Source organism: Homo sapiens, chromosome 9, assembly GCF_000001405.40.
Source record: "Homo sapiens chromosome 9, GRCh38.p14 Primary Assembly".
Classification (NCBI taxonomy): Eukaryota; Metazoa; Chordata; class Mammalia; order Primates; family Hominidae; genus Homo; species Homo sapiens.
The window spans coordinates 81,921,291-81,937,529 of NC_000009.12; the positions used below are offsets into that span (position 1 = coordinate 81,921,291).

Below are 16,239 nucleotides of genomic sequence, written 5' to 3' on the forward strand. Positions count from 1 at the left end.
TTGGTGTCAAAACAAAAGCAAAACAAAACAAATCAAAACAGATGTCCACTACAGCTCCCTCACTCAACCATCCTTCTCTTTTCCTGTCCATGCGTATGCCACTGACCCTGCAGTGTCTGAAGTTTGGGATTGCAGAAATAATTCAGATTTCAGGAAGGCTTTAAGAGAACAAAATTGGGATGAAGTCCAGGGCAAAGAACTTGTGGAGGTGGAGAATCAGCGACCCATGGATGCCTGGGGATTCTCCATGTTCTTCCCTGTAAGCCTGTCCCCTAAGTCTTGTAAGGCAGCCAGCCATGCTAATTGTTTTAAAATGACTGAAGGGGGCCCAGTATTTGGTTTGATTTGGTTCTAAAATGAAGGCCGAGAGCCTTGAAATGAAGGGACAGAGTTGGAGTCCGCTCCTCTATTCACCATGTCAATAAAGGTTGTACCTTGGTATCAGACATGAGCCCCCAGTTTGAAGGGGCTACATTATCTGGGGTATATGCCCTGGCGTTCATCATCTTGTGCCAGGAAAATTTAGAACACAGACACACACGAGGAGTTTAGGAGCAGATGTTTAATAGGCAGAAGATAAGAGAAAGAGAAACAGCTCTCTCTACAGACCAAGAAAAGTCTCCAAGTGGAAAAGACTGGCTGGCAGCGAATGCACCAGATTTTATAGTCAGGTTTGAGGAGGCAGTGTCTGATTTCCATAGGGCTCACAGATTGGTTCAATCAGGTATGATGTTTACATAGTGTACAGGCAAGGCTGGTTGCCCCAACGTAATCTTATTGCACAAATGGGCTTTCCAGTTGATCGGTGCCATCTTGTCTGCTCCTTACTGTACATGTGGCTGACAGAGAAAAGAAGATGGAGCCACCATCTTGAACATGTCTAGTCCCCTAATTCCTGCTGGCATTCACTTGTGCAAGCTCCCAGCTTGCTTATCTATGTCTGCAGCTCGAATTTACAGGCTGCTCTTTGTTAGAAAATGATTTGGGGCTGATTCTCATTAAAAAGAAAAGATTTACTGAGGACTCCCATACCCTTATTATCTGCCTAGGTAATTTCTTCTTAACTACTGTATCAGCAGCATTATAGCCCCAAAGTGAAAACAACCCAAATGTTCACCAACTAAATCAATAGATAAACAAAATGTGATATATCCATACAATGGGATGTCACTTGTCCATAAAAAGAAATGAAGTATCTATACATGCTGCAACATGAACGGACCTTGAAAACATCATGGTAAGAAGCCAGACACAAAAATCCACATATTGTATGATTCCATTTAGATGAAATGTCTAGAAATGAAAAATAGATAGAGACAGAAAGTAGATTACTGGTAACATAGGGAGGAAGGCAAATATTGAGGGGTGAAGGCTAAGTGAAGCAGAGTTTCTTTTTGGGGTGATGAAAATGTTCTAAAATTGATTGTGGTGATACATGCATAACTGTGAATATGCTAAAAACTGTTGAATGGTATACTTTTGGCGAGTGAATTGTATAGTATACAAATTATGTTTCAATAAATAATTTTTAAAAAGAAAGTTTATATAGTAGCTTTATTCATAATTGGCAAAATTAGAAGCAACAGAAATGTCTTTCAGTAGGTAAGTAAATTTTTTTGTATATCCTAAAATGGAATATTATATGCCATTGAAAAGAAATAAACTGGCAAAACATAAAAAAGGAGGAAAACTATTAAGTGAAAGAATACAATCTGAAAAGGGTGTATGATTCCAACTATATGACATTTGAAAATGGGCAAAACTATGAAGGCAGTAAAAAGGGCAATGGTTGTCAGGGGCTAGTGGGGAGGGGGGGATGAAGAAACAGCACAGAGGATTTTTAGGGCAGTGAACTATTCTACATGATAGTACAATAGTGGATATGGGTCATTATACGTTTGTCAAAACCCACAGAATGTACAACATCAAGAGTGAACGTTAATGTAAACTACGGACTTTGGATAATAGTGATGTGTAACAAATGTACCACTCTAGTATGGGATGTTGACAACTGGGGAAGCTGTGCCTGTGTGGGGATAGTTGGTATATAGGAATTTTCCCACTTACTTTTGCTGTCAACATAAAATATCTGTAAAAAATAAAAGTCAGTTAAAAAAAAGAAGAGGAGGTTGTTAATATCTCACAAGGCCCAACATCAGAGAGTTGGCATCAACTCTCTGAAGTATTCCCTGAACCCTGTTTTCCCTTCCTCCTGGCAGAAGAATTCTACTTCTTTATCTATCTTCCCATTGTGTATTATTTTTGCTTGTTTTACAGCTTTTTGTAGCATATTTAATTACACTTGTTTGCAGGTCTCACTTTCTGTACTATGACCTGTCCAAGGGCAGAGGCAATGTCTTATTTTACTGATATTTTTACAGTAGTAGGAATACTACATAGTAAAGTTCAATAAATATTTGTTGTGTGAATGTATGAAGAACATCTTACGACTACTGTTTTATTATTTTTATTTTTCTGGGACAGAGTTTCACTCTGTTGCCCAGGCTGTAGTACAGTGGTGTAATCTCGTCTCACTATAACTTACCCTTCTGGGTTCAATCTAATCTCCTGCCTCGGCCTCCCAAGTAACTGGGATTACAGGTGTCTCCCACCATGCCTGGTTAAATTTTTGTATCTTTAGTAGAGACTGGATTTCACCATGTTGGCCAAGCTTGTCTTGAACTCCTGACCTCAGGTGTTCCGCCTGCCTTGGTCTCCCCAGGAGCTGGGATAAAACTACTGTTTAAAAATACAATTATAAAGGATTTTGGCTCAGAACCTGTTCTGCTTCAGGCTTTTGGGGAACCTGAAAACAGCTGCCTCCAAGTGACTTATTCCAGGGACAGTGGTCAGGATGTGAGGGCGTGAGCATTGAGGAAACGTCCTAGGAAATTGGGAACATATGAAAGTCCTAAACTAATAGTTTATCTATACTGAGCATCCTCAAGTGGTAACATATTACTCTAAGAGCTTTTGGAAAAGATTCCTCCTTGGAGATAATAAAACCAAGTGCAGTGTGAAATCCAAGACCAGACTTCTGGGTGGTGGTTTAGGTAAATTGAGAAGATGTCATGGGGCCAATGGTGAGACAGTCCATCCTACCAGAAGCCACCTCTGCCACCTCCCAAAGGCTGCCTAAAATGCTTTGGTAAGAGCTTATTACAAGGCATGGGGATAGATATACGTAGAATGTGTGAAATGTTTTCCTGGGAGGGATGACATTTTAAACTTTTATTTTCTACATTACTGGGAGTCATATGTAGATTTTAAGAGGGGGCTAGGAAAAAAAAACTATGAAGACTTTGATGCTAAGAGTGGAAAGGAAAAGTTATCTAAGAGGTGATAGAGTACCAAAAATAGCTTTTCCCTTACTTCCCAAATTTGTCAGCATTTAACAGACAAAGTGAATATTCTTAAGCATCTAACTATTTTAACATTAGGGCATACTTTTTACTTTAAGAAATTACATATTAATATGTGTAAAGTAGAAGCATTATGAATGTAGAGAATTTATTCATTAGGGCTTTGATATTTACTACTGTCTGATTTAGAGAAGTCACTTACCCTCTCTGGGCTTCGGTTTCATTCATTGATAAAATAGGCACATGAGGTCAAGGGCAGAGCCTGTGGCTTACAGATGCCTGTGTCTCCTAGTTTCCAGCAGCAAATATTTATGAGATGAAAACTTGGCTGAGGCTACATATAAAAGAGAGGAGGAAGGGGCATCTCTTGGCAGATTTTATTCTCAAGGCAGGTTACCTGCTCTTGCATAAATGAAAGGAGACCTGGCCTGGCTTGAAGGCTGTCTTATCCTTTCAAAGGAGATCAGTAACAGTGGTGGCCCATGGGTAACTGTGGTGGCCCATGGGTGTCTAATAAGGAGCTTTATAGTATTAAAAGAAACTTCAGAGAAATTAAATTTAAAGTAGTTTAACTGAGCAATGAAAGATTTGCGAATCGTCCAGCCCCCAGAATCACAGCAGATTCACAGAGACTCCAGGGGTGCTTTGTGGTTAGAACAAATTTATAGACAAAAAGGCAAAGTGACGTACATGAATCAGAGGTGAGAGGTACAGAAAGAGTGAGATTGATTACAACTCGGCGTTTGCCTTTTTGAATGCAGTTTGAACATTAAGCAGTCTATGAGTGGTTGAATTATGGCTGCCGGGATTGGCCAACACTCAGCTATTGTTACAGGTGCATACTATTGAGTTAGATTTTCAATTTGTGTAACTATTAGGCTAGGTTACAATTCATCTGCAAGCACTCAAATATAGAAGCATGGAGTCCTCAAGCCATATTTGTTTGCTTTAACAATAGTTTAAGAAAGACATGAGAAGTTAAGAGCCAGTTCAGATGACAGCTGTCATGATAAAGAGTTTAGAAAAGAATGTGTAGGAAGATGGGTTAGGGGTGGAGGATATTGGGATCATTTAAACCTGACAGGAGTCACCTGAATAAAGTATGACAGGTAGTTGGTATTTGGACATTTGCAGAAGTGATTATATAGAATATAAAGCAGATGTTCTCAAGTTTTTTGGATGCCAAGGCACTCAGGAAAAGATCACATTTACATGGCCCACAGTGTAGTCAGGTGAGGTTGCTTAAGACTACGTTCTGCTCTAAGGCTTTGACACACCTAAGTCTCACTCTGCTACCAAACACTGATGGGATCAGTAGTATCATCCAAAAGAGCACCAAGATGACTAAATAGTAGAAAGGAGAGCCTTATTGCTTAATCAGTTTGCAAGCCAGGAAGGGAAAGCATCCAGTGTGGAATAAAGCTGCTGTCTGTTGGAATAGGGGAAGGACAGGTTGGGTTTTATATTCATATTCATACATATTCAATAAGTTTGGGGGAAAAGCTATATATATTTATGCAGGAGCCAAGCACACCATAATGAGTAAACATATGTAACATACATCCCATGTTCACCTTGGTTTTAGCACTAAAATGAGGTAGAATTTGGCCCTTTACATGATAAGGTGAACTGTAGGACAGAGGCGGTTTGTGTGCCGCCTCTATAATCTGGCAGAAACTGGAAATCTCTAATATTAGTAGCTTATCAGAAAAGAATGTTTGTAAGGCCGGTCCTCTGTCCAATCAGAGCCGATAGCTCATTTGGTGAGAGGGAGTTTAGTTATAGAAAGTTAGAAATTTGCCATGCCATCCAGGCCCTGAACCCTTGACCCATCGGTAACTTTGTTTCCTTAACCTAAGGGTCTGTCTTAGTTGATAAAGGGGCATCTATTTTGGTCTTTTAGATCACAATAGCTTAGCGCACTGTAACCTATCCCTGCTTTAAGGGAGTTGCATACTTGCCACCAAAGTGATGTGGAGGGTTGGGCCTGGTTGTGTTTGCGGTAGAGTTAGAAAATGTGGGGTCAAAATGACAAATAAGAAATTAAAATAAAAGGAGGAACTAATTGATTCTGGATTTGAAAACACTCATTGATTTGTCACAGGATGGGTGTGTGGATGTGTTTGTAAAGAAAAGAACTTTTATCTGAGGCATGTGAGTCCTTTTAAGTTATCAGGCCTAGAGAGACATTAAAATGAGACAGAAATCACAGCCTTATTTCCTCCTTGAGCTACACATTCATCTCTTGAAACTGCTTGCTATTGCCATATGGAGCTATATAGTAACCCAATAATGCCACACCTGACAGGATAACCCACCCCCTATAGCTTAATAATGTACAGCCAATCACTAAGCAATGTCACTCCTGTAAACCAATGAGAATTCCTGATTACAACTTTGTATCAGCCGACTCCTTGTCCCCTTTTTCCACTTTAAAAACCCACTCATAACTACTGGTAATTGGAGTGTATATTTAGGCTGACTTGCATCTGTGTTCCCAGGTTGCAATCCTCAAGCTTGACCCAAATTAACTCTCTACTTATAATAATTTTCCATCAACTTCTCCCTTTTAGGTCGATGCGTATGTGTGTTTGTGTACAGAGTATGTTCCAAAAGTGCTTGAACAGTTTAAACTTCACTAACTTGAGAAAAATAAGTTCTATAAATTTACCCCTAAGGTCCCTGGAAGTTTCAATTATATACATTTATTGTACACTTATTTTCATTTTGTAGATGTTAAATAATGCATTATTAGTGAAACCATGCCCCAGAGAGTTGAAGAAAACAATGACTAATGAAATTAATCAGTTTACAAGAAAGGAGATCAAACAAAAACAACAACAGTAACTTGCTAAAATGCCGAAACTCTCCCTGCTTCTGAGATTTAAAAACTGGCTAAAATGGATTAAAACTATTAAGGCCAACTGGAGTTTGCACAGAACAAGCTGGCTGGCGTCACAGCCCAAATTTCTGCCACATTTTAACCAACTCCCCACAAATGTGCCCATGGAATACATGAGGCAGCGTTAAAGAAAACTGTGCATGCCGAGGATTTTCAGACCTCCCCTTTCCTTCCAGCAATCAACTATTAATTCCAGAGGCCACTCCCTAAATGTTTTCTAATAAAATGACTGCATGAAAGCCAGCACACAGGACTGATTTGAGCTGGACTCCTGTCTCCTTTTTGGTTAATTTCCAATAAAAACATCTTTTCTCAAAAAAATCAAATTGGGCAGGGAGCTTCTTTTCCTTGATAACGTTAGTTTTAATCATTTGAGTCAGTCCCTCTGATTGGAAATAGTAAAAACTGACTTCAAACAAAGAATGTAATGTTCACCATTCACGAAACGAAGTAAGAATAAAGGAAGTTTAAGTTTTATATCTGCATTTATGTAAGGCAAAAACATACTGTAGATAAGACGGATTTGAGGACATATGTGATCCTGAGAGTAGAAAAGCCTGGGTACAACAAATATTCCAGGCAGTATTTCAGGCTTTCAAGGCAGTGTAGTTGGTGGGGTCCAAGTTAAGGGCTCCAAACAGCGAAGTGGGACTTGGGTAATGCCTGGTTTACTGTTGGAACAAACGGAAAATTCAACTAAGATAAATATATGACTTGAAAAAGGATGGAGTTGGGAAATGGAGTGTTAGGGTAGGACAGAGCGACCTAGAGGGCCCAGGAAGGTGGAGTCAGCTGGGCTGGTGGGGTTGGGGCTGTGGACACACCCTCCTCTTGTTGATCCCTCCACCCTCAGAAACCCTCTGTGACTCTTCCACGCTCTGTGATGCAGGCCTGTGCTTACAGTTAAGCCTGGGCACCCTCAGTGCTCAGTTGCTTCAGGCAGCTGAGCTATTCAGACCATGGAGAATATCCTCTGTTTTCTGAACAGCTATACTGAGACAGGGCTGAGCCCTGACTCACATTGTTTGGATATTGACCTCAACTTCATCTGCTTGAGTGGGTTGGGGTTGTTTATACTGTACTTGTTCTACATGGTATTGACCCTGTATTCATCACCCACCGAAAAAAATAATGACACCCAAAAGGTAAGGAACTGTGGGTGAACACCCAAGAGAGATGCCCTGTTTTTGTTTCCGAATCCTATTCCCACATTTCTAAATAAGTTTGGTTAGTACAGAGACATGTCTTAGATGGGAAGTCTGAAGAGAGGATAGAACTTCACTCTTCTGTGGAACAGGTTGGGCAGATGTAGGGGTTCAGGAGGACAAAGGTTTCCATCTGTAGCTCATAGACTACCTATCCGGCTGTGGTGGAGAGTTCCAGGATAAAATCCCAAACAGTAATTCTGTGGTCCCAGGTGGGATTATTTAGAGAGTCTGGGCTCTCTGAAGGAGAATAGTCTCTGCTGAAATTTGATCATGAGTCAGATTCCCATGTCACCCGTCATTCAACAAAGCCTTCCTTCTTGTTGGGCTGACCAGGGGAGTAACGCTGAGAGTCTCTGAGCAGAGGCTGGAGCCAGAGCTCTGTCTCTGGGATGCTTGCCCTGTGAGGGAGCACAGATGTGACTGTCGACCTCTGAGTCTGTGCCCTGGATGAGGACTTCTAACTGAGCACATCAAGTGTGGCTCTCACAGAAGAAATCCTCTTTCAGCTTTTCAGAGAAGGGAAAACAAGAAATATTTTATGACCTTTAAAAATTGATAACAAGAATATATTTCTATTAATTAGAGAGTCATATCATTCTTGTATAATGAATGAATGAATGAATGAATGAATGAGCTTCAAAGAGTGTGAGAGAAGTGAGTACCAGCCTGTCATTATCTTTGTTTCATTCTCAGCATCAGGGCAGAGCCAGGAGGAAAAGAAAAAGCGTGACATTTAAAGGTAATGTCAGCCTATTCTATCTGAGCTTCAGGGTGACCCTTTCTGTCTCTTTCATGAGGACTCAGTCCCATGATTTCTTAGAATGTCAGTTACTAGATAGTCTCAGAAAACAGAGCCCTCAGAAGACAGGCTCGTGGGAAATCAATCAGACCTGAGACACTGCTCATAGGCCCTGCTCTGCCCATTCATGGGCATGACAAAGTGATGGACCTGAGTAATGGGTGTTGCCCAATTGGTGGCCACCTGAGATATCGAGGAAGGACTACTGGTTGGCTTGGAGTCAGAGTTTCTGTCTTACAACTTTGCATAAGTACTTTGACTTCCTTGATGCTCGGATTCCTCCTGGAGGTAACCACTGATGTCTATGTTTCACGTGGTGGTTTTGAGCATCACATGGGATAATGTATATGAAAGAATTCTACTAATGATTCCACATACACATGTGAACTTGTGAACATTATCAATGAATATTTGCCCTTTTCTACTGATTCTTGGGGCTATCAGAGTTTAATATCCCAAGGGTCTTCCACAGAGTTACTTCTGTATGATCCCTGTGCCTCTACCTTCATTGCATGTAACATGCTGTTCTGGTTTCCAGACCGGAAAAGTTTGCAGAAGGAAGCAGAAGAGGAAAGAAAGCTACATTCTTTTCTGAAAAGGTGATTAATCATTCCCCTTCTATCCTGTTCCCACCGCCTTCTTTTTTTTTTTTTTTTTTTTTTTTGCATGTTCTATTCATTTCAGGGATTCCTTGTAGCCTGCTGTAGTTTTGGGAGTGGGTAGCCATAGGAACGGATATGTGAATGAATGCTTTGAGGAGAGGCTATAGTGAGGTCATATGACCTCACATACGGTGAGCTCATGGATGGGGGGTAATGTGAAGCAGGATTCAGGGGGCCCCACCCCTGCCAGGCTAACAGATCCTCATTTCCTTGTTCTGATCCTGGCTGCAGCTTTGGACCTCCTGTTTCCTGCAGTCCCCTGGGCCAGCATCATGATACCACCCTCTTTCGTCGACTGTTATGCCCAGACCCTGTCTGTCGGGTGTGTAACAGAGCAACTGCTGATATCCAGCGACTGCTGTCTTGGGAGTCCCTGAAAGATGCTGCTCCCTCTGTGTCCCCTTTGGCTTCTTCAGCTTCTGGGGCTGAGTCATCGTTCACTCTGGCTTCCACCCCCTCAGCAACCACTCCAGAAGACCTAATATTGTCCTCTCGGCCTAAGCCCTCTCCACCACCCCCCTTAATTCTCTCACCTGACCTGATCACCACCTTAGCTGACTTATTTTCACCCTCACCACTGAGGGACCCTCTGCCACCACAGCCTGTTTCTCCCTTGGATTCCAAGTTCCCCATAGACCATTCCCCACCCCAACAGCTTCCCTTTCCCCTTCTCCCACCACATCACATTGAGAGAGTGGAGCCCAGCCTCCAACCTGAGGCCAGTTTGTCTCTGAACACCATCTTTTCATTTGGCTCCACCCTATGCCAAGATATTTCCCAGGCCGTGAATCGCACTGATTCATGTGCTCGTCATCATGGACCACCAACCCCATCTGCTTTACCACCGGAAGATTGCACTGTGACTCAGTCTAAATCAAATCTCACCGTCTTGAAGACTTTTCCGGAAATGTTATCTCTAGGTGGCTCTGGTGGGTCATCCACCTCTGCCCCAACAACGAAAGGCATTGACCATTCATGCCCTGCATCTTCAGAATTCTCCTGGTGGCAGCCTCATGCCAAGGACTCTTTTTCCTCTAATTTTGTGCCATCTGATTTCATGGAGGAGCTTCTTACCCTTCATTCTTCTGAGGCCTCTTTAGGGGGGCACTCTGTGGCCAACATCATACAGCCTGTTAACATCTCTTTTCTCAGCCATGACATTCCGGCACTCCTGGAGAGACAAGTCAAAAGAAGGGGTGATTTCCTGATGTGGAAAGAAAATGGAAAGAAACCAGGATCATTCCCAACACAACTTAGGCCAAACTACCAACTAAATTCCTCACGGAATATGTTAACCTCAACTGCTGTTAAGCATGACTTAGCAGAATCCTTTCCTTTTTGGGCCAGTAAAGGCAAACTAGAGTGGCAGCACATCCATCAGCAGCCCCCATATTCTAAGTGTTTTGAGGACCATTTAGAGCAAAAATATGTCCAGCTCTTCTGGGGTCTCCCATCTTTGCACAGCGAGTCTCTGCATCCTACTGTTTTTGTCCAACATGGCCGTTCCTCCATGTTTGTATTCTTCAATGGCATTACAAATACATCTATGTCCCATGAATCCCCAGTACTTCCCCCTCCCCAACCTCTGTTCTTGCCTAGTACCCAACCTCTACCCTTGCCTCAAACCCTGCCCCGAGGTCAGTCCCTACATCTCACTCAGGTGAAGTCCCTGGCTCAACCTCAATCTCCATTCCCAGCCCTACCACCTAGTCCTCTATTCCTGATTAGGGTGTGTGGCGTGTGTTTTCATAGACCCCAGAATGAGGCACGGTCTCTTATGCCATCTGAAATTAATCATCTGGAGTGGAACGTGTTGCAGAAAGTGCAGGAAAGTGTGTGGGGTTTACCCTCTGTGGTTCAAAAATCCCAGGAAGACTTTTGTCCTCCAGCTCCCAATCCTGTATTGGTCAGAAAGTCCTTCAAGGTCCATGTTCCCATCTCCATCATTCCTGGAGATTTTCCACTCAGCTCTGAGGTAAGGAAGAAACTAGAGCAACACATTCGAAAGAGGCTCATCCAGCGCAGATGGGGCCTGCCCCGCAGAATCCATGAGTCTCTGTCATTGCTACGTCCTCAGAACAAAATTTCAGAGCTATCTGTGTCAGAGAGCATTCATGGTCCATTAAATATCTCTTTGGTTGAGGGTCAGAGGTGCAATGTTCTAAAGAAGTCCGCATCAAGCTTCCCTAGAAGCTTCCACGAGAGGAGCTCAAATATGCTTTCCATGGAGAATGTGGGGAATTATCAGGGATGCAGCCAGGAGACTGCCCCAAAAAACCATCTCTTGCATGATCCGGAGACATCTTCAGACGAGGATCTGAGGTCTAACTCTGAGAGAGACCTAGGAACTCATATGATGCATCTGTCAGGGAATGATTCAGGGGTGAGACTAGGTCAGAAACAACTTGAAAATGCCCTGACAGTACATTTGAGCAAGAAATTTGAGGAAATCAATGAGGGTCGAATGCCTGGGACTGTGCATAGTTCATGGCACTCAGTCAAGCAGACAATATGTCTTCCTGAGAAATCCCACAGCCAAATTAAACATCGAAATTTGGCAGCATTGGTGAGTGAGGACCACGGCGTTGATACCTCCCAGGAGATGTCCTTCCTTAGTTCCAACAAACAAAAGATGTTGGAAGCCCATATTAAATCTTTCCATATGAAGCCCATATTAAATCTTTCCATATGAGGATGCTGTGGGGCCTTCCCCGCAAGATCCGTGAACCCATAGAAATCTTCAAATCAGAAGAGGATATTTCCAATTCCTTTTCCCATTTCTACCTTCCCTCCTCAGCCAGCTTTATTTCTCAGGGAGATTCCAAAGATGGGGTCTCTAAGTCTCATAGACGAAGCACTTTTCAAGGAGAAAAGTTGGGAACAACAAGCTCAGTCCCTGTCCTTAATCATCCTCAGCCTGTCTCCTCACCTATTGGCAAAGAAGGGCAGGGGACCCTGAGAAGACAATTTTCTGATACTGACCATGACCTTATAGAGACAGATGCCAAAGATGGTGCCTCCACGCCCCTTAGAAGAGGCACTACATATTTTCAAGGAGAAAAATTAGAAACAACAAGCTCATTCTCCATCTTGGGTCATCCTCACCTCGTCACCTCACCTGTTGATCAAGAAAAGCAGGGGACCCTCAGAAGAGAATTCGCTGATACTGACGAGGATCTTACAGAAAGTGTCTGGACAACTGAGGATGGCAGACAGACTTTTCTGCCCCCCACACACAGCATCATAGACGAAGTCAGTCAGAAACAGACTGTACTTGCCAGTAGATGCAGTGCAGAGCTGCCCATACTGCAAGCTGGAGTTGGCCGTGATTCAAGGGATAAGAGAGAGAGTGCCAGTAATAATGTTAACAGGCTTCAGGGCAGTAGAAAGACCTTTCCTGTCACCAATGGGTCGAAGGAGATGTTCAAGGAAGAGGAGATCTGTACTCTTCAATCACAAACTAGGAACAACTTGACAACCAGCAAGTCAGGAAGCTGCTTAGTGACAAACGTGAAAAGAAGCACTTCTCATGAAACTGAAATTTTCCCACCAAGAATATCAGTTCCTCAAACTCCTAAATCATCATATCTTAAAAATCAGATGTTGAGCCAGTTAAAGTTGGTCCAGAGGAAGCATAGCCAACCTCAGAGCCATTTCACTGGCATGTCTCTTGCCTTAGATAACTTGAGTTCCAAGGACTTACTGACTCATGCCCAGGGCATCTCGAATCAGGACTTGGGAACTTCCCAGGTGCTGCATGTCCACTTGGAGGTCAGAGGAATCCGTGTGGCACAGCAGCAGGAGCACAGGGTCCCTACGCATGTCTTACAGAAATGCCAAGTTAAGAATTTTTCACCAGCTACAAAGAGAGTGAGCCCTTTAAGACCCAATGGAGGAGAGCTTGGTGGAGGGGATGCAGGGTTGGGGACATCCCAACTCACTAGAAAGAGCCTCCCTGTTCATAACAAGGCATCAGGAGAGGTGCCTGGGAGCAAATCTTCCCCAACCTTGAAAACACAGCCTCCTTCTGAAAACCTTTTCAGAAAATGGATGCAGACCTTATTGCAGTGGTTTAATAAACCTAGCATAATGTGTGAAGAACAAGAAAGTTCTTGGGAAAAGGGTAGCTCCCTGTCATCATCTGTGCAGAATAGAAGTCGAGTTACAAGTAGAGCTGCTTTTACTGGTGCTACTGAAGCTCAGAAAATTAGGAAAGACACTGGGGAGTTCCTAGAAGAAAAGCTGGGGCATAGCCATGGGATAGATATCACCTGTCCCTAAGAACCCTTTTCCTTCCCAGTGGAGCTTGGGAAAGCTCAGCACAACCCAGAAGTGCAGGTCAGAGCAGAGCCCTTCCAGGGCTATCCCCGCAACTACACAGCTCCCTCCCGCAAAGTGACATGTACCAAATCTTGCAGCCAACAAGCTATCTTTGTTGGACAGAATTATCCTACAAGGATTAGACAGATCATAGACAAGGACAGACAGCCCCAGGAAGTTGAGGCATTTAAGGGGAAGATATTGTATCAAAGGCATCCCCAATCCATGCCCCACAGGGATCCTGTGCCACATCTAAACCCCACTTGTCAGCGTCAAGTCACCCTGGTGTGTCCAGCTGTCCCAATTAGTGGCAAAAGCACTGTGTTCAGTGATGTGCCTTTACTAACTGGACACAAAATGCATTGGAAGTATTTGCAGGGAGGCAAATCTCCCCCCACAAAATAATTCACTACTTGTTGAGAATCTTGATTCTCCCTAATAAATGTTCTAATAAGATTGGTGTCTTTTCTGTGTACTGTGTTGGGAGGTATAGGTTTTGGGTAACCCAAGCTTGTGCTTAGGGAAAGGTAGGAGTTAGCTCAGCTCTTACTGACTCCCTCTTTTGACTTTTAAAAGGTGACCAATCCCCTGGAACTAGTGTGAAGGAATGAGTATCATGTGCCTCCAAAAGCCCCTTTTCTCCCTGATCAAGTCTGAGGAGATGGGCTCTTTTCTACCTCTTTGCTTTAGACTTACTGATACCGTATGGCAGCCTGCACCTTCCTCCCCATTCACTGCTTCATATCCTTTAGAGCAGTAAGGAAGGCAGCCCTTCCATATCTGAAGAGAGAGTGAAGGACAGATACATTTTTCAGAAATAGTGGTTTAATCACTATTTAAAAAAAGTTGTCACTGACCACAGGATCATATAAGTTGGTGGGAGTGTTTAGGGTATTGCTGGTTGGGGTAGGGTGTCAGGAACACTGTGGATGCTGCTTAAGAATTTGACAAGCAGGGCATGCTCATGATTTAGGGAGGCATATTTTGACCTCAACGTTGAGGTCTTTCTACTAATAAGTCACTTGGGAAAGTAGTTCCCCTCCCTGTGTATTTCTCTATGCTACCTGGATTGATGACATTTTTACAGAGCAAAAAGATCACCTGGCTGTCTGTGGCAGGACTGCTGACCAGACAACCACCTACCTCCTAGGGTAAAATATAGCTTACAGTAAGGAAAATATGTCTTTGAATGAGAAAGTAAGAAAAAAGTGAAGCTAGGAAAGGATGACCATGCTAGTCGAAAAAGGTTTATGCCCCATCATGCCCATATCATGACCCTTTCTCAATCTGGATCTAGGTACCACCACCTTGAGGATTACCAGGGCACTGAAGAGCTGACAGATGCCATTTTGGCAGAAGTGTACATGGGGCTGTTCTTTAAGGAGTAAAACAGTATCTGCAGGGCTGTTGTCAACATGGCATCCCTCTCTTTAGGGAAGGTGATCTTTGTGCCTTCTTTCTAGCCATGTTGATGGCAACATGCAAGATCTTCCCTTAATGTATACGGTGCACCTCAGGATGGATGTGTCACCTCTGATCTTCATGGGGTTAGTGGAATATAATAAATATTGTGTAGAACACCTGAAGCTCATGATCCAGAGGTGAGTCCTTGACTATGCATGAGTATTACAGACATTTGGAGGCTAGCTATGAATCTTTACAGAATGCTCCTTATGACTAAGAGTGTGCACATATGCACCCTTAAAATATTAGAGGTCTGAAGAGAAGGGAACTCCACTTATACAGACTGGGACTAATAAATGAGGTGAGTTTTCTAGAGGGCACTTGAGGTAGGTTTTCCAGAAAAATTTGTGAATGCTTGGTGTCAAAACAAAAGCAAAACAAAACAAATCAAAACAGATGTCCACTACAGCTCCCTCACTCAACCATCCTTCTCTTTTCCTGTCCATGCGTATGCCACTGACCCTGCAGTGTCTGAAGTTTGGGATTGCAGAAATAATTCAGATTTCAGGAAGGCTTTAAGAGAACAAAATTGGGATGAAGTCCAGGGCAAAGAACTTGTGGAGGTGGAGAATCAGCGACCCATGGATGCCTGGGGATTCTCCATGTTCTTCCCTGTAAGCCTGTCCCCTAAGTCTTGTAAGGCAGCCAGCCATGCTAATTGTTTTAAAATGACTGAAGGGGGCCCAGTATTTGGTTTGATTTGGTTCTAAAATGAAGGCCGAGAGCCTTGAAATGAAGGGACAGAGTTGGAGTCCGCTCCTCTATTCACCATGTCAATAAAGGTTGTACCTTGGTATCAGACATGAGCCCCCAGTTTGAAGGGGCTACATTATCTGGGGTATATGCCCTGGCGTTCATCATCTTGTGCCAGGAAAATTTAGAACACAGACACACACGAGGAGTTTAGGAGCAGATGTTTAATAGGCAGAAGATAAGAGAAAGAGAAACAGCTCTCTCTACAGACCAAGAAAAGTCTCCAAGTGGAAAAGACTGGCTGGCAGCGAATGCACCAGATTTTATAGTCAGGTTTGAGGAGGCAGTGTCTGATTTCCATAGGGCTCACAGATTGGTTCAATCAGGTATGATGTTTACATAGTGTACAGGCAAGGCTGGTTGCCCCAACGTAATCTTATTGCACAAATGGGCTTTCCAGTTGATCGGTGCCATCTTGTCTGCTCCTTACTGTACATGTGGCTGACAGAGAAAAGAAGATGGAGCCACCATCTTGAACATGTCTAGTCCCCTAATTCCTGCTGGCATTCACTTGTGCAAGCTCCCAGCTTGCTTATCTATGTCTGCAGCTCGAATTTACAGGCTGCTCTTTGTTAGAAAATGATTTGGGGCTGATTCTCATTAAAAAGAAAAGATTTACTGAGGACTCCCATACCCTTATTATCTGCCTAGGTAATTTCTTCTTAACTACTGTATCAGCAGCATTATAGCCCCAAAGTGAAAACAACCCAAATGTTCACCAACTAAATCAATAGATAAACAAAATGTGATATATCCATACAATGGGATG

The 16,239-nt window shown here is 43.1% G+C and overlaps 1 protein-coding gene and 1 long non-coding RNA gene across 3 annotated transcripts in view; one reads left to right on the top strand and one right to left on the bottom strand.

Annotated features, from left to right (window-relative positions):
- Nucleotides 1–16,239, bottom strand: part of LOC105376105 (uncharacterized) — a 91,092-nt gene that overhangs the window by 35,293 nt on the left and 39,560 nt on the right. For both annotated transcript variants that reach the window (NR_188610.1, NR_188611.1), the window contains exon 5: nucleotides 9,819–10,104. This is a non-coding gene — a long non-coding RNA (uncharacterized LOC105376105). The remainder of the gene's footprint in view (nucleotides 1–9,818; nucleotides 10,105–16,239) is intronic.
- Nucleotides 7,138–13,708, top strand: SPATA31D4 (SPATA31 subfamily D member 4). The gene is made up of 4 exons (NM_001145197.1): nucleotides 7,138–7,409; nucleotides 8,166–8,211; nucleotides 8,810–8,870; nucleotides 9,165–13,708. The coding sequence occupies exons 1-4, from the start codon at nucleotides 7,224–7,226 to the stop codon at nucleotides 11,623–11,625; spliced, it is 2,754 nt and encodes a 917-aa protein (NP_001138669.1). The 5' UTR covers nucleotides 7,138–7,223; the 3' UTR covers nucleotides 11,626–13,708.